At 41.5% G+C, this 18,253-nt stretch overlaps 1 protein-coding gene and 2 non-coding genes across 3 annotated transcripts in view; all 3 read left to right on the top strand.

The window, feature by feature from the left end:
* KANSL2 (KAT8 regulatory NSL complex subunit 2) overlaps positions 1-18,253 on the top strand; it is a 29,028-nt gene that overhangs the window by 8,060 nt on the left and 2,715 nt on the right. The window contains exons 5-8 of the mRNA NM_017822.4: positions 2,217-2,380; positions 4,907-5,073; positions 6,390-6,486; positions 13,560-13,813. Of these exons, the coding sequence (NP_060292.3) occupies positions 2,217-2,380; positions 4,907-5,073; positions 6,390-6,486; positions 13,560-13,813 (682 nt within the window). The remainder of the gene's footprint in view (positions 1-2,216; positions 2,381-4,906; positions 5,074-6,389; positions 6,487-13,559; positions 13,814-18,253) is intronic.
* Positions 6,586-6,722, top strand: SNORA2B (small nucleolar RNA, H/ACA box 2B). The gene has a single exon (NR_002951.1). It is a non-coding gene; the product is annotated as a small nucleolar RNA, H/ACA box 2B (small nucleolar RNA).
* On the top strand, positions 17,397-17,531 carry SNORA2A (small nucleolar RNA, H/ACA box 2A). The gene has a single exon (NR_002950.1). It is a non-coding gene; the product is annotated as a small nucleolar RNA, H/ACA box 2A (small nucleolar RNA).

Here is an 18,253-nt window from a genome sequence, read left to right as displayed (position 1 = left end):
ACAGAGCAAGACTCTGTCTTAAAAACGAAAAAGTAATAAAGCATAATTTTTTGACTTAAAATTAGTATAATTTATGTGTTTTGCCTTTTCAATAAAATTTTTACTCAGTATGAAACTTAAGGTATATAGCTTGTTCTTTGTATTTATGTAATGATCAGACGGTGAGTGAAACAAAATTTTTAAAATTCAAAGTTATTCACTTATTTATTTATTTATTTATTTATTTTTGAGACATGGTCTTGCTCTGTCACCCAGGTTGGAGTGCAGTGGCGCCATCTCAGCTCACTGCAGCCTCCCACTCCCAGGCTGAAGTGATCCTTTCACCTCAGTCTCCTGAGTATCTGGGACTACAGGTATACACCACCGTGCCCAGCTAACTTTTGTATTTTTTGTATTGACAGGGTTTTATCATGTTACAGCCCAGGCTGGTCTTGAACTCCCAGGCTCAAGCAATCTGCCTGCCTCGGCCTCCCAAAGTGCTGGGATTACAGGCGTGAGCTATCACACCTGGCCTCATCTCTTAATTTTGATTGCATAAATCAGAGCCAGAGAACAGTCTACCATATATTAATCACTAGCAAAACTTTTAGAAGTTCTTTTTTTTTTTTTTTCTTTTTTTGAGATGGAGTCTTGCTCTGTCACCCAGGCTGGAATGCAGTGGCACGATCTCAGCTCACTGCAACCTCTGCCTCCCGGGTTCAAGCAATTCTCCTGCCCCAGCCTCCCGAGTAGCTGGGATTATAGGCGCCCACCACCATACCTGGTTGATTTTCGTATTTTCAGTAGAGACGGGGTTTCGCCATGTTGGCCAGGCTGGTCTTGAACACCTGACCTCAGGTGATTCGCCTGCCTTGGCCTCCCAAGGTGCTAGGATTACAGGTGTGAGCCACCGTGCCTGGCCAGATATTCTTTTAGTTTATAATTGGCAGCAAAGCTTAATCAAGTTGATATGGATCCGTGCCAGATCTTTGGCAATTAAGGGTTAACCTAGGGTACTGAATTTTGAGAATATTGTCAAGAAAATTAGCTGAGGACAGGGTATAGCCCATTTTGACTAGTTATTTGAGGGTCCATATGAGCTCCAATATAGGCCTATATTTTTTAAACAATTACAAATTTTGGCTGGGCACAGTGGCTCATGCCTGTAATCCCACCACTTTGGGAGGCCGAGGCTGGAAGATCGATCTGAGGTCAGGAGTTAAGACCAGCCTGACCAACATGGAGAAACCCCATCTCTACTGAAAATATAAAAATTAGCTGGGCGTGGTGGTAGGTGCCTGTAATGCCAGCTACTTGGGAGGCTGAGACAGGAGAATCACTTGAACCTGGGAAGCGGAGGTTGCAGTGAGCCAAGGTTGTGCCACTGCACTCCAGCCTGGGTGACAGAGCAAGACTGTCTCAAAAAAAAAAATTATTTGATGTTGGTATCTTTAGTGCTTTAATTAAAATATATTGCCAGGTGCAGTAGCTTATGCGTTTAATTCCAGCACTTTGTGAGGCTGAGGCGGGAGCATCGCTTAAACCCAGGGGTTCAAGCCTGGACAACATGGTGAAATCCCATCTCTACAAAAAATACAAAAATTAACCAAGTGGGGTGGTGCACACCTGTAGTCCCAGCTACTCGGCAGGCTGACGTGGGAGGATCGCTTGAGCCCAGGAAGCAAAGGTTATAGTGAGCTGTGATTGATTGCACCACTGCACTCCATCCTGGGTGACAAGAGTGAGACCTTATCTCAAAAAAAAAATATATATATATATATATATATATACGTATATATATATATACATGTATATATATATACGTATATATACATGTATATATGTATATGTGAAAGATACATGTTAATTGAACACTTTAAAGCTGTCTTGACTGGTAAGTGATGATTTCATATCAAAACATTAAGAATGTAGATTAATAAAAGTTTAAAGTGTTCCGCATGTTCACTTTCTTTTCAACATAATGCAAATAGCTGGGAAAAATAAGACATTTCTCCTTCCCCCATTTTGGGAAATCACAGATTAGTATTCTTTCTTGGAGATTTTCTCTTTTGTTTTATTTAATAACAACTTGAATGGTACAATGTTTTGCAAAAACATTAAGGTGATTATGTCACCACTTGTTAAATAACAAACTTAGTCTGACATCTCTACTCTTTCAAACTTGGGTTTTATTATTATTGTTTTCTTATGCTTTGCTGAATTCTGTTTTATTCCAGACATGCTGGTGTCTACACAGCAGAAGAAGTGGCCCTGATTATGCGTGAAAAGCTAATTCGTTTGCAGTCGTTGTATATTGATCAGTTTAAACGACTTCAGCATCTGCTCAAGGAGAAGAAGCGCCGATACTTACATAATCGCAAAGTGGAACATGAAGCTCTAGGCAAGTTTTATGCCAGTTCCAACAAGCTGTTGTGGGTTTAACATGTGAATTTGGTAGTACAGTCATGTGTCACTTAATGATGGGGATACATACTTTGTTAGGTGATTTTTGTCATTCAAACTTCATGGAGTGACTCACGCTAACGTAGGTGGTATAGCCTGCAACATACCTAGGCTGCAAACCTGTACAAGCATGTTACTGTACTGAATACTGTGGGCAGTTGTAACAGTGGTATTTGTGTACCTAAACACATCTAAACAGAGAAAAGGTACAGTTAAATTATGGCATAAAAGATTTTAAAAATGGGCACTTAGCATGAATGGAGCTTGTAGGACTGGAAGTTATTTTGGGCGAGTGAGTGAGTGGTGAGTCAATGGGAAGGCCTAGCACATTATTATTTACTACTTTAGACGTTATAAGTACTGTACACTTAAGCTGTACTAAATTTATAAAAAAAGTTTCTTCAATAATAAATTAACCCTTAGCTTACTGTAACTTTTTTACTTTCATTTTTTTTTTTTTTTAATTGAGACGGACATGGAGTCTCACTCTGTTGCCCAGGCTGGAGTGCAGTGGCATGATCTCAGCTCACTGCAACCTCTGCTTCCTAGGTTCAAGCAGTTCTCCCACCTCAGCCTCCCAAGTAGCTGGGATTACAGGCACATTCCACCATGCCCGGCTAATTTTTTTATTTTTAGTAGAGGGGGGGTTTTGCCATGTTGGCCAGGCTGCTCTCGGAACTCCTGACTTCAAGTGATCCCCCTACCTTGGCCTCCCAAAGTGCTGGGATTTCAGGCATGAGCCACTGCGCCTGGCCTATAAGCTTTTTTTTAAAGAGACAGAATCTTGCTGTGTCACTGAGGCCAGAGTGCAGTAGCGTAGTCCTCACTCACTGCAGCCTTCAACTCCTGGACTCAGGCTATCCTGCCTCAGCCTCCTGAGTAACTAGGACTACAGATGCACCACCACACTCAGCTAATTTTTAAATTTTTGTAGAGACAGGGTCTCGCTATGTTGCCCAGGTTAGTCTTGAACTCCTGGGCTCAAGTGATCCTCCGACCGTGGCTTCCCAAAGTGCTGGGATTGATTACAGGCATGAGCCACTGCACCTGGCCTTTATAAACTTAAAAAAATTTTTAAGAAAAACTTCTGGACTCTGTAATAACACTTAGCTTAAAACACAAACACTGTACAGCTGTACAAAAATTTTTTTTATATCCCTATAAGCTTTTCTAGTTTTAATTAAAAAAAAATCCTTTTAAACTTCTGTTAAAAACTAAGATGCAAACACGTACATTAGCCTAGGCCTACATGGGCCTAGTGTCACTGTCTTTCACCTCCACATCTTGTCCCAGTGGAAGGTCTTCGGGGACAATCTCATGCAGCGAACTGTCATCTCATGATAACAATGTCTTCTGCAATACTTTCTGAGAGAACTGCCTGAGGCTGTTTTACATTTAACTTTTTTTTTTTAATAAATAGAGTGGAGTACATTCTAAGGATAAATATAGTAAATATATAAACCAGTAACATAGTTGTTTATTATCGAGTATTAGGTACTGTGCATAATTGTAGGTGCTAGATTTTTTTTTTTTTTTTTGTGATATAGTCTCACTCTGTCGCCAGGCTGGAGTGCAGTGTGTGATCTTGGCTCACTGCAACCTCCACCTCCCGGGTTCAAGCGATTCTCCTGCCTCAGCCTCCTGAGTAACTGGGACTATAGGCGCATGCCACCACGCCCAGCTAATTTTTGTATTTTTAGTAGAGATGGGGTTTCACCATGTTGGCCAGGATGTTCTCAATCTCCTGATCTGGTGATCTGCCCGCCTTGGGCTCCCAAAAAGTGCTGGGATTACAGGTGTGAGCCACTGTGTCCAGCCTGTGCTAGACTTGTATATAACTGGCAGTGCAGTAGGTTTGGTCACCAGCATCACCACAAATGTGTGGGTTGAACTATGATGTCACTAGGCAATAAGAATTTTTCAGCTTTGGCCGGGTGCGGTGGCTCATGCCTGTAATCCCAGCACTTTGGGAGGCCAAGGCAGGCGGATCATGAGGTCAGGAGATCGAGACCACAATGAAACCCTGTCTCTACTAAAAATACAAAAAAAAAATTAGCCGGGCGTGGTGGCGGGCACCTGTAGTCCCAGCTACTCAGGAGGCTGAGGCAGGAGAATGGCGTGAACCTGGGGGGCGGAGCTTGCAGTGAGCCAAGATTGCGCCACTGCACTCCAGCCTGGACAACAGAGCGAGACTGTGCCTCAAAAAAAAAAAAAATTTTTTTTCCAGCTTTGTTATAATCTTATGGGACCACCATAGTATGTATGGTCAATGATTGATTAAAAAGTGGTTATATAGTGCATGACTATAATTAGATTTATTTCTGTCTTGGTACCTGGATTGGGGGTCATTTGCTTTTGAAACTGCCTATCTTATGCCCAAGGATTTTCCTGTTTACTTGTTGACTTGGAGACGTAACCTTGATGGATTGCTTGGCAAATAACATCTTGACTCTTGTAACTCTAGGCAGTAGTCTCCTGACTGGCCCAGAGGGACTTTTGGCCAAAGAACGAGAGAACTTAAAGCGATTAAAATGTCTGCGACGATACCGCCAGCGCTATGGAGTGGAAGCCTTACTGCATAGGCAGTTGAAGGAACGGAGAATGCTGGCCACAGATGGTGCTGCCCAACAGGTAATTTGTGTGTATACCTTTAAGGTATATACGTTCACTTTATTTATTGTTTTTATTTTTTCGAGACGGAGTCTCGCACTGTCACTCGGGCTGGAGTGCAGTGGTGCGATGTCGGCTCACTGAGATCTCTCAACCTCTGCCTCCCAGTTTCAAGCAATTCTCCTGCCTCAGCCTCCCGAGTAGCTGGGATTACAGGTGCCCACCACCATGCGCCCAGCTAATGTTTTTGTATTTTTTGGGGTTTCACTATGTTGGCCAGGCTGGTCTCCAATGCCTGACCTCGTGATCTACCCACCTCGGCCTCCCAAAGTGTTGGGATTGCAGACATGAGCCACCGTGCCTGTTCATGTTCACTTTATTTACAAAGTTAGAGTAATTGTCAAAACACTATGTCCAGTCTTTTTTTGAGACAGAGTTTCAATCTTGTTGCCCAGGCTGGAGTGCAATGGCGCCGTCTTGGCTCACCGCAGCATCCACCTCCTGGGTTCAAGTGATTCTCCTCCCTCAGCCTCCTGAGTAGCTAGGATTACAGGCATGTGCCACCATGTCTGGCTGATTTTGTATTTTTAGTAGAGACGGGGTTTCTCCATGTTGGTCAGGCTGGTCTTGAACTCCCTATGTCCAGTCTTGGATCTGAAATCTGACTTTTTGCACATGGGTTATAGTGAAAGCACTTAGCTTGAAGTCAGGAGACATGGATTCTAGTGTGAGTCCCCACTGACCAGCTCTGTGTCTGCACAGTTAGCTTAAATTTTCTGGGCCTCAGTATTCTCATCTGCATATTGAGTAGTTGGGAAAAGTTTCTAAGTCCTTGGTTCAGATATTCTTCAGTTCAGAAATAAGCACAGGTTAATCCTAAATTGCTTGGGAATCTTGTTTTAAAAGGTGGGAAGGTAGAATAGGAGCAATTGAATGTCAGGAAGTAAGGTTAATAGGAAGAAGAATTAAGTGATCATTCTTAAATTTGTTTTTCAGACCCTTGGTCTCTGTTTCAGTAAGAGTAATTTTGTTTCATTTGTTGAGATTCCACTTAAGGCTGCAATTTCAGAGTTCTGTTGGTAAAAGACAAAATTTGTGTTAAATAGGCTATATCACACTTTTAGAATATGGAGAGGTGTATTTGGGATTGAGGTTGACTCATTCTTTATGCACTAGGTTTTAAAGTTTTTTGTCTTTTGCATAATATTGGTGAATCTATTTTTGTTAAATGTTGAATTTCTAGCCTTTAGGATGTGCTTTTCTTATATAACTATTTTCATCGTAATTGTTTGTGTGTTCTTTTGTGGGTCTATTTTATCTGTCTTTTTCCATTTCAGGCCCATACCACTCGTTCCAGTCAGAGGTGCTTGGCCTTTGTGGATGATGTTCGTTGTTCCAATCAGTCTCTTCCAATGACCAGACACTGCCTTACCCGTATCTTTTTACTCTGCCTGTTAAGGCTGTGGTTTGCTAGTTTGAAGACTAGTGGGAATCTCTGTGCTAGTTTGCTTAATTGAAGGATTTTGTTTTCCTTTGGCCCTGAATCAAGGCCAGCAGTTTGCTGAAGCTGTTGGTTTCAAGCAGGAGCCTAAAGAATTGTCTTTCTATGGTCTGTTGGCCATTTCATAACTTTGGAAATGTAATGGTCAATTCATTAGAAAGAAACATGAGTCGTTTTTCATAGATGTGGGCTAATATTTATTTATAGCCTTAATACTTGGGTCCCAAAATATACATAAAATATTTGTAATTGTCTCAAGGTTTCTGATTTAACTTGCTTATTAGGATCCTAATGCTGTTAAATCTAATTATAAACTTAAAAAATTACTGTGGGTTTTCCACCCCAGTTGAAAGGATGATTTTGCACTGTGAACTTCTAGTATTATCCTTTTGTGTGGTTAGGGCCCTCACTTCTGTATTTTATTTTATTTTTTATTTTTTGGAGATGGAGTTTTGCTCTAGTCTCCCAGGCTGGAGTGCAATGGCGTGATCTCGGCTCACTGCAACCTCCACCTCACTGCACCCTCCGCCTCCCGAGTTCAAGCGATTCTCCGAGTAGCTGGGATTATAGGCACGTACCACAATACCTGGCTAATGTTTGTATTATTAGTAGAGATGGGGTTTCACCATGTTGGCCAGGCTGGTCTCGAGCTCCTGACCTCAGGTGATCCACCCGCCTTGGCTTCCCAGAATGCTGGGATTACAGGAGTAAGCCACTGTGCCCGGCTTTTATTTTTTTATTTGTGTTTTTTGAGACAGGGTCTCACACTGTTATCCAGGCTGGAGTGCAGTGGCTCAGTCATAGCTCACTGCAGCCTTAACTCCTGGGTCAAGCAATTCTCCTACCTCAGCCTTCTGAATAGCTGGGACTATGTATGTGTGCCACCATGCCTGGCTAATTATTTATTTTATTTTATTATTAATTATATTTTTTGAGGCAGAGTCTCGCTGTGTCGCCCAGGCTGGAGTGCAGTGGTGTGATCTCGGCTCACTGCAACTTCCACCTCCTGGGTTCAAGCAATTCTTGTGTGTCATCCTCCTGAGTAGCTGGGATTACAGGCACGTGCCACCACGCCTGGCTAATTTTTGTATTTTTAGTAGAGATGGGGTTTCACCATGTTGGCCAGGTTGGTCTCAAATTCCTGACCTCAAGTGATCTGCCTGCCTCGGCCTCCCAAAGTGTTGGGATTACAGGCATGAGCCACTGCACCTGGCCTATTTTTTTTTTTTTTATTTTTTGTAGAGTCAATTTTCAATATGTTGCCCAGGCTGGTCTCAAACTGCTGGGCTTAAGCAGTCTGCCAGTCCTTTCCTCCCCAAATGCTGGGCTTACAGTCATCAGCCACTGTACCTGGCCTTTATAAACTTAAAAAAGAAACTTGGCTCTTTAAAAAGTTTTCTTTTTTTAATTTTTTTGAGACAGAGTCTTACTCTGTTGCCCAAGTTGGAGTGCAGTGGCATGATGATGGCTTACTGCCGTGATCTGCTGGGCTTAAACGATCTTCCCACCTCAGCCACCAGAGTAGCTGGGACTACAGGCATGTGCTACCACGTCCAGCTAATTTTATTTAATTTTTGTAGAGAGGTTGTGTCACTATGTTTCCCAGGCTGGTCTCGAACTTCTGAGCTCATGTGATCCTCCCGCCTCAGCCTCCCAAAGTGCTAGGATTACAGTTGTGAGCCACCATGCCCAGTCTCTTGACTCTTTTGTGATAACACTTAGTCACTGTGCCTGGCCTCTAACTTGCATACTTTAAACATCATTCAAATTAGAAGTTTGCTATTTCCAAAAATGAGATGCTTTTTTTCTTCTTTTCAATTAATTTGCCTTTGAACCATCATAATGTCTCTTGATTCTGTTAAAGGACTACATTTGGCATTGGGCCTTCAAACTTTTTTGAGTTGTTGATTGAATTGTGAAAGTGCTTATTTATTATAGGCATTGAGAAAAATTTCGCAGTAAAAGCACTTGTTAATTAAATAGGATTGCTGGATTTCATTTGCTTGGCAAGAAATGCCAAATATTTGGAAATTAAAACTTATTTTCTTTATTTGTTTTTTTTGAGACAGAATCTGACTCTGTCACCCAGGCTGGAGTGCAGTACCGTGATCTCAGCTTGCTGCATCCTCCACTCCCCTGGGTACAAGCGATTCTCCTGCCTCAGCCTCCCAAGTAGCTGGGATTGCAGGTGCCTGCCACCGTGCCCAGCTAATTTTTGTATTTTTAGTAGAGATGGGGTTTCACCGTGTTAGCCAGGATGGTCTCGATCTCCTGACCTTGTGATCTGCCTGCCTTGGCCTCCCAAAGTGCTGGGATTACAGGCATGAGCCACAGCGCCCGGCCACTTATTTTCTTTAATAGGGAGAGGAGAAGGAGAACCTCTTCTTAGTCTTTTGACAGGAAGCTGATTTTTATTTTGCTTATTAAATATTTTACTAATTTATTAATTACAACAGATGTCTGATAAGAGATTATTGTTCTTAATATATAAAATGGTTGTGCAAAGTAATGAAAAACTCTAAAGATAAATGCTTACAGCCTGGACAATACAGTAAGACCTCATCTCTAAAGAAAAAGAAGAAAGAAAAATTATCTGGTCACGATGGCATGTGACTGTAGTCCTAGCTACCTGGGAGGATTTTTTGAGCCTAGGAGTTTGAAGCTGAAGTGAGGATCATGCCACTGCATTCTACTTTGGGTGACAGAGGAAAACCCTGTCTCTAAAAAAAAAAAAAAAAAAAAAAAAGCGGGCGCAGTGGCTCACACCTGTAATTCCAGCACTTTGGGAGGCCAAGATGGGTGGATCACGAGGTCAGGAGTTCAAGACCAGCCTGGCCAAGATGGTGAAACCTCATCTCTACTAAAAATACAAAAAAAACTAGCCAGGCATGGTGGCGGGTTCCTGTAATCCTTGCTACTTGGGAGGCTGAGGCAGAGAATTGCTTGAACCTGGGAGGTGGAGGTTGCAGTGGGAGGAGTTCACGCCACTGCACTCCAGCCTGGGCAACAGAGTGAGACTCCATCTCAAAAAAAAAAAAAAAAAAAAAAGGCCAGGTGCGGTGGCTCACGCCTGTAATCCCGGCACTTTGGGAGGCCGAGGCGGGCAGATCACGAGGTCAGGAGGTCGAGACCATCCTGGCTAACACGGCAAAACCCCATCTCTACTAAAAATACAAAAATTAGCCGGGTGCGGTGGTGGGCGCCTGTAGTCCCAGCTACTGAAGAGGCTGAGGTGGGAGAATGGCATGAACTTGGGAGGCGGAGCTTGCAGTGAGCTGAGGTTTTGCGCCACTGCACTCCAGCCTGGGCGACAGATGTGAGACTCTGTGTCAAAAAAAAAAAAAAATTGCTTAAAACATAATTGGGCAGAGGCTATGGGCAGATTTAAAAGAAGATAGAAAAGGCTAATAGGGCCGGGCAAAGTGGCTCTCACCTGTAATCTCAGCACTTTGGGAGGCTGAGGTGGGTGGATCACCTGAGGTCAGGGGTTCGAGACCAGCTTTGCCAATATGGTGAAACCCCATCTCTACTAAATATACAAAAATTAGCCAGGCGTGGTGATGGGCACCCGTAATCCCAGCTACTCGGGAGGCTGAGGCAGGAGAATCGCTTGAACCCGGAAGGCGGAGGCGGTGAGCCGATATCGTGCCATTGCACTCCAGCCTGGGCGACAGAGTGAGACTCTGTCTCAAAAAAAAAAAAAAAAAAAAAAGGCTAATAGTTAAAAGTGTGTATCTTCACTATAAATACAGTTGGCCTTTGAACAATTCATGGGGTTAGGGTGCTGACCCCCTACACAGTTGAAAATTTGTATATAATTTTTGATTCTCCCAAAATTTAACTGCTAATAGCCTTATGGCTTACTGTTGATCAGAAGCCTTATCAACAACATAGCTTCCTAACACATATTTTATATGTTTATATGTCTTATATATTGTGTTCTTAAAATAAACTAGGAAAAAGTGTTACTAAGAAAATCATAAGAGAAAATATATTTACTGTTTATTAAATGGAAGTGGATTATCATAGAGGTCCTTATTCTCATGGTCTTTTTGTTAAGTGGAGGGGGAAGTGTTATTGTCTGTGGGATGACAGAGGCAGAAGAAAATGCACGTGTAAGTAGACCCGTGCAGTTCAAGCTTGTGTTGTTAAAGGTCAACTGTAAATAGGAAATAAGGAAAATTAAAAATCTATAAAATTGATATTTGTACATATATTTGTTTTAAAATAAAATTTAAAATATACAATTTTTCAAAAATGAGTCAGTGAATTTCAAAAGTAGGTGAGAGTATGGTGAAATTGACCCTTCTAAATATTGCCAGTGGGAATATAAATAGATAAAAGCTTTTTGGAAAGCAATCTGACAGTAATTCATATTTCCTCATATGGTAATTTTTACCTCTGGGAATTTATTTTAAGGAGATAATCAAATGCAGACCAATATTTTTACATGAAATATTCTTCCAACTTGAGACAGCCTTAACATTTTTAGAGCTGGAGAATAGGTAGATAAATTAATGACACAACATAGTGTGGAATATTTTCAGGCATTAAATATATTTAACAGAATTTATGAATGACAGCAAAATGATAGTGACATTCCAGGATATGGAATTCTGTACGGTGTCTGAAATTGCATGAAACCAAATACTGGAAGGGAACAATACAGAAATGTGATAATTTGTGCATGGTGTGGTTGTGAATGCCCTTTTTTCACTGTTCTTTTATTTTTTGTTTTTTTAAGGCGAGCATGAATTACTTTTATAAGGGAAAAAACTCAGTTTACAGATACTAAGGACTATTTTAGATATTATAATACTGTAGTCAAATAGCTTATTAAAATATAAATATAAAGCAAAATTGAAAATGTATTTGAAAAGAGAAGGGAAGTATTTTTTTTCCTTTTATGCTCTTTCCTTTCCACTCCATAGTTGCCTAAGTCACTTACCCTTCCTTAAGTCCTTATCCCAGAGAAAGATGCGACTGCCATTGGTGACCTGTTAACTCTTTACTGTGGTCTAATGGAGACAGCACTCGACTGAAAGTGAAGGACCCAGACTCTAGTTGTAGGTTAACCATTCCCTTCTTTTTACCTCTTTTGCCCCATCTGAAAGGAAAGCGGGTGGAGGATGATGGGGGGAGTCCTTTTTTAGGATATTGTGGTATTAAATACATAAGAGACTTGTGAAAGTCCTTTGAATTCCAATAAAAAAAAGTTCTTGGCCAGGCGTGGTGGCTCACGCCTGTAATCCCAACACTTTGGGAGGCTGAGGCGGGCTGATCACCTGAGGTCAGGAGTTAGAGACCAGCCTGGCCAACATGGCGAAACCCTGTCTCTACTAGAAGTATAAAAATCAGCCGGGTGTGATGGCAGGTGCCTGTAATCCCAGCTACTTTGGAGTCTGCGGCAGGAGAATCTCTTGAACCCAGGAGGCAGAGGTTGCAGTGAGCCGAGATCACGCCACTGCATTCTAGCCTGGGTGACAGAGCGAGACTTCGTGTAAAAAAAATTTCTGGTTGAAACATTTAATGGATAATATTTTAAATATTAAGAGTGGGCTTCTTAAGCACATTAGATATTGCTTAGATTTTCTTAAGCGCATAGTGCAAATCTGATGATTCCCATTAGATTCATATGTTTATTCATTTGATCATTCAATAAATATTTGTTTGCCTTGTACTATCTTCTGTTTCTTTAGAGTAGTGGTTTTCAACTGGGGGCCATTTTGTTTTCCAGTTGGCAATGTGTGGAGAAATTTTTGGTTGTTACAACTCAGATGGAGGTGCTACTGACAGCTAGTGGATAGAGGCCAGGAATGCTGCTATACATCCTTCTTCCAACAAAGATGTACCTGGCCTACAGTGTTGGTAGTGCCACAGTTGTCACACCCTGCTTGAGAGTTTAGTTATTTCCAAGTATGCATTGAAAGAAATAGCTTTATTCAAGGAAGTTCATATGGTTTTAAAAATTATAATGTATGTTAGTTTTTTTATTTAAAAAAATTACCATAAAAGTTTTGAGTTGAAAATTATAACTCCATAATTCAGGTACTATCAGTTTAAGAAAAATTGTGTTTTCTGGTTAAAAATAAGTCAAATTTTAAAATAATGTTTATTAATCTAGGAAGATAACCAGGTAGTTAACAGATTTCAAGAAATGGTAGCACTTGCATAAAATGTGTTTTGTAAAGTAACTTGAATTTTATTGTATCTAATCATCTCAATTTTGGTTCATCCTACAGAGCTTCTTTGCTAACTTGGAAATATAGCCCTTTTCTTCTTCTACCTTTAACAAAAGTTGTTAATAGAGTCCTTGGAATGTTTCTAGAATACTTTTTTTTTTCAATGGGCCTTCATACACAAAATTTTCTTCTTCCTTTAGGATCATAAAAGGATTCCTCTGTACTAGCACACTCCCCTAAAAAAAAAAGGCATGTATATTTAATTTCTTGTTAGGATATGATACCTAGTGACTTTTACTAGAGCTCTGTTTCCCCCTATTCCAGTGGTGCTTTAAATGAATTTATCATGTAATCATCTTTGGAAACGAGGTCCAAGAAATTGTTGCAAACTTTGCCAGTCTGCTAAGGGAGCAGAGACATTGTATCGCTTGACTCTTTTGGAAGGGCTGTTTAGGGGCATTTTCAAGGCTATTTGCATTTGCCACTACATGTTTCTTCTGAATATGTGTGTGTTCCTAGGAGTGTTACTGCTACTTGCTTAAGGGAGAATGGGATGGTGTCTAGTTTAAATGACCAGGATCCTGAAAAGGAGGTTGGGGACAAGTTTTAAATTACTGGTAGAGCTAGAATTTGATGCTAGTAAATGACATTTATTTTGAGAAGTAACTTTAAAAATTGCTAACTGCATTTGGTATTCTGTATCAAATGTAGTTGTAATTTATCTTATATAGTCCACACCTTGAGTTTTATGTGGCAGACAATGCTATTTGTATTTTATGCTTTCGATAGATTGTGTTTTATTTCCCTTGACCATTTTTCTACAGATATTTGTCAGGATACGAATCAGGTTCTCTTCAAGTGCTGCCAGGGATCTGAAGAGGTACCCTGCAACAAACCTGTTCCTGTAAGCCTCTCTGAGGATCCCTGCTGCCCACTGCATTTCCAGTTGCCTCCTCAGATGTATAAGCCCGAGCAGGTACTGTCTGTGCCAGACGATCTGGAAGCCGGCCCCATGGATCTGTACTTGAGTGCTGCTGAGCTTCAGCCCACTGAGAGTTTACCTCTGGAGTTCAGTGATGTAAGTTAGAGAAGCTCTGCTTTGGTTCAGGCCCTTGAGACAAAGCCTTATTTATTAATGGTGAGAATAGGTTAGTCTTTGTGGTTAGGAGAATCGACAAAGTTTTTGAAGTGATATATACGTATAGTTGTATTTATATGTTAGCATATTCATTTAGAGAAATCTACCCTACCTTATATTTTTTTCCAGACTCTTCCCATACCTTTTTAGGGATACAATTTACATACTATAAATTGCACTCTTTGAAAGTGTATAATTGAGTGATTTTTAGTATATTCGCAAAGTTACGCAACTACCACCACTATCTAATTTCAGAAGGTTTTCACCATCTCCAAAAGAAACTCAGTACCTATTATGACACTCTTCATTTTCTTCTCCCCTCAGCCCCTGGCCACGATGAATCTACTTTTTGTCTCTGATTTTGCTTATTCTGGACATTTCATATCAATGTAATAGTATATGTATCCTTTTGTGTCTTGCTTGTTTCACTTAGCATAATGTTTTCAAGGTTTATCCATACTATAATATGTATCAATACTTCATTCCTTTTTGTGACTGAATTAATATTCCATTGTTTGGAAATACCACGCTTTAAAAATATATCAGTTGATGGATATTTGTGCTGTTTCTACTTTCTGGCTATTAAGGAATATACTGTTAAGAACTTTTGAGACAGAGTTTCTGTCGGTGGCATGAGCCACCACGCCCAGCTTAGTTATCATTTTTATAACTTTTTTTTTTTTAAATTGGGGTCTTGCTCTGTTGCTCAGGCTGGAGTGCAGTGGCATGATCATGGCTCCGTGCAGCCTCGAACTCCTGGGCTTAAGTGATCCTCCTGTCTCAGCCTCCCAAGTAGCTGGGACTATAGGTTTATGCCACCATGCCCAGCCAATTTTTTATTTTTTGTATAGATGAGATCTCCCTATGTTGCATGGGCTGGTCTTCAACTCCTAGGCTCAAGTGATCCTCTTACCTTGGCCTCAAGTGATCCTCTTACCTTGGCCTCCCAAAGTGCTGGGATTACAAGTGTGAACCACTGTGCCTGGCCACTATAACTTGGCTTTTTTTTTTTTAGACTGAGTCTTGTTCTGTTGTTCAAGCTGGAGTGCAGTGATGTGATCTCAGCTCACTGCAGCCTCTGCCTTCAGGGTTCAAGTGATTCTTGTGCTTCACCCTCCTGGGTAGCTGGGACTACAGGTGTGCGCCAGCAGGCCTTGCTGATTTTTGTATTTTTTGTAGAGACAGGGTTTCACCATGTTGGCCAGGCTGGTCTCTAACTCCTGGCCTCAAGTGACCCACCCACCTTGGCCTCCCAAAGTGCTGGGATTATAGGCATGATTCACCATTCCTGGCGTATAACTGTTAATGATAACTTTGGTGATTTTACTTGCGGGAAGACTAGGCATCAGATATTAATATGAGTAAAAACACAGCCGTTCATTCTGGATATTTGCTTGTTTTCTGTGCTTTGATGCAAGGATGGTTGGCAAGTAGTAACTTAACACCTTAATCTTACTACTTTTGAGTTCCTTCTCTCTCATTCTCTATTGCTGGTTTTGGAGATAGTAACAAAACGTGGATTCTCTTATTTTATCTTTATTTATTTTTTGAGACGGAGTCTTGGTCTGTCGCCCAGACTGGAGTGCAGTGGCACGATCTCGGCTCACTGCAACCTTCACCATCTGGGTTCAAGCAATTCTCCTGTTCCTGCCTCCCGAGTAGCTGGGATTACAGGTGTGTGCCACCATGTCTGGCTAATTTTTGTATTTTTTAGTAGAGATGGGGTTTCGCCATGTTGGCCAGGCTGGTCTCGATCTCCTAACCTCAGGTGATCCACTCCCCTCAGCTTCCCCAAAGTGCTGAGATTATAGACATGAGACATCGCGCCCAGCTGAAAACATGGATTCTCTTTATATCCTGATACTTCAATTTTTAAAACACTCCTGTTTTAATAGGCATTTTTGCTGATTTTCTTATTTTAGGATCCTTTTCCCAGTTTAAAATCTTATAAAAGACAACCCTTTGTATATATGAGAAAAGCCTTTTCTGAAAACATACACATTCCATTATTATCTTGAGATTTAGATGCCTTTTGATTCAGTGTTTAAATAATTCCAAGCTAGTCATTATTATTTTTGACAGAGTCTCGCTCTGTCACCTAGGCTGGAGTGCATTGGCGTGATCTCGGCTCACTGCACTGTCTGCCTCCTGGGTTCAAGCGATTCTCCGGTCTAAGCCTTCCGAGTAGTTGGGATTACAGGTGCGCCCCACTGTGCTTGGCTAATTTTTGTATTTTTAGTAGAGACAGGGTTTCACCATGTTGGCCAGGCTGGTCTCAAGCTCCTGGCCTCAAGTGTTTCGCCCACCTTGGCCTCCCAAAGTGCTAGGATTACAGGCGTGAGCCACCGTGCCCATTCCAAGCTAATTGTTTATGTAAGAATTGCACATGGGCCGGGTGCGGTGGCTGACGCTTGTAATCCCAGCACTTTGGGAGTCCGAGACGGGTAGATCACCTGAGGTCAGGAGTTCTAGACTAGCCTGGCCAACATGGTGAAACTCCGTCTCTACCAAAAATACAACAATTAGCTGGATGTGGTGGCACGCGCCTGTAATCCCAGCTACTGGGGAGGCTGAGGCAGGAGAATCGCTTGAACCCAGGAGGTGGAGGTTGCAGTGAGCCAAGATCTTGCCATTGCACTCCAGCCTGGGTAACAAGAGTGAAACTCTGTCTCACACACACGCACGCACACACACACACACAAATTGCACATAGTAAAAGAATGGGAGAAAACAGATTTATAGTCTTAATGGTGTGAGAACACTGGTTTCTGTGGGTAGTACAGAAGTTTCCAACTCACCTGAAAATGAATGGTAGGTTGAGTGTATCCTGTGCCCTATGTTTCTGCTTAAATTGAGCAGCTTTATTTTATTATTTTTTTTTGAGACAGAGTCTTGCTCTGTTGCCCAGACTGGAGTGCAGTGGTGCAGTCTCGGCTCACTGCAACCTCTGCCTCCTGGGTTCAAGCAATTCTCCTGCCTCAGTGTCCTGAGTAGCTGGGACTACAGGTATGTGCCAAGACGCCTGGCTAATTTTTGTATTTTTAGTAGAGATGGGGTTTCACCATGTTGGCCAGGCTGGTAATTTTTTGTGGAGACTGGGTTTCACCATGTTAGCCAGGATGGTCTCAATCTCTTGACCTCATGATCCGCCCACCTTGGCCTCCCAAAGTGTTAGGATTGCAGGCGTGAGCCACTGCACCCGGCCTGAGCAGCTTTAAGTAGATTTTAAAATTATATATATTCTTTAATGTGAAGATGTTGTGATTCTCATTTTTGGTGATTAGCACACCAACAAATGGGAAAGGATTGCAAATTCTTAGATTTATTTAAAAGCGTAGAACTAAGCTTCTCGTGAAGCTAGATGAATAGAAACACGGAGCATCTATAAACTGGATTAAACATAGGGGGGTACAAACCTCCTGGATATTTTTAATTCTTAGGAAGAAGGAGAATTTAGCACCAGACTCTTGAAAAGCAGTGGCATGAAAGTTAGTTTGATATATTGTTTGAGTTTGTATTGCCTTAGGCCCTGAATCAAGACCAATGGTTTGCTGTAGCTGTTGGTTTCAAACAGGAGCTAAGAGTGATGTCTTCCTTGTGGTCTGTTGGCTATTCAGTATTCCAGTGCGAATTGCCAATTCAGTTGGAAGAAACATAGTCTAGAATGTAATGTCATTTTTTTTTTTTTTTTTTTTACAGAGCAAAACTATGTTAGGCTTAAGAACCAGGGAGTTGGCCGGGCGTGGTGGCTCATGCCTGTAATCCCAGCACTTTGGGAGGCTGAGGTGGGCCAATCACTGGTCGGGAGATCAAGGCCATCCTGGCTAACATGGTGAAACCCTGTCTCTACTAAAAATACAAAAAATTAGCTGGGCGTGGTGGCACACGCCCATAGTCCCAGCTACTGGGGAGGCTGAGGCAGGAGAATCACTTGAACCCAGGAGGCGGAGGTTGCAGTGAGCCGAGATCACGTCACTGCACTCCAGCCTGGGCGACAGAGCGAGACTCTGTCTCAAAAAAAAAAAAAACAAAACAAAAAAAACCAGGTTGTTGCTCTGTCGGGATAGGGACTTAACCAAAATAATATTTCCTAGCCATTCAGAGGAACTGTGAGTTTTCTGTTGTCCTTCCTTTCTTCCTACCTTCTCCCTTTCCCTTGTTGGAGCTTGTTTGCTTGCTTTGTGGCTGTTAGGATATTAATCAGGCAATCTTGTATTACCCAGCAATATTTAATTTTAACGTAGCATTGTTCATATTTAAATTAATCACTGGTGAACTTACATGTTCATTACAGGTAGCCTCAGAGAATATGCTTTTTTAAAAAATATTTTTTTAATTGTAGTAAAACATACATAACAAAATTTTACTCTTTTAACCTAT

This window comes from Homo sapiens, chromosome 12 (assembly GCF_000001405.40).
Source record: "Homo sapiens chromosome 12, GRCh38.p14 Primary Assembly".
Taxonomy (NCBI): Eukaryota; Metazoa; Chordata; class Mammalia; order Primates; family Hominidae; genus Homo; species Homo sapiens.
Note: the sequence above shows the minus strand (reverse complement) of the source record. Positions and strands in the feature narration are given on the sequence as shown.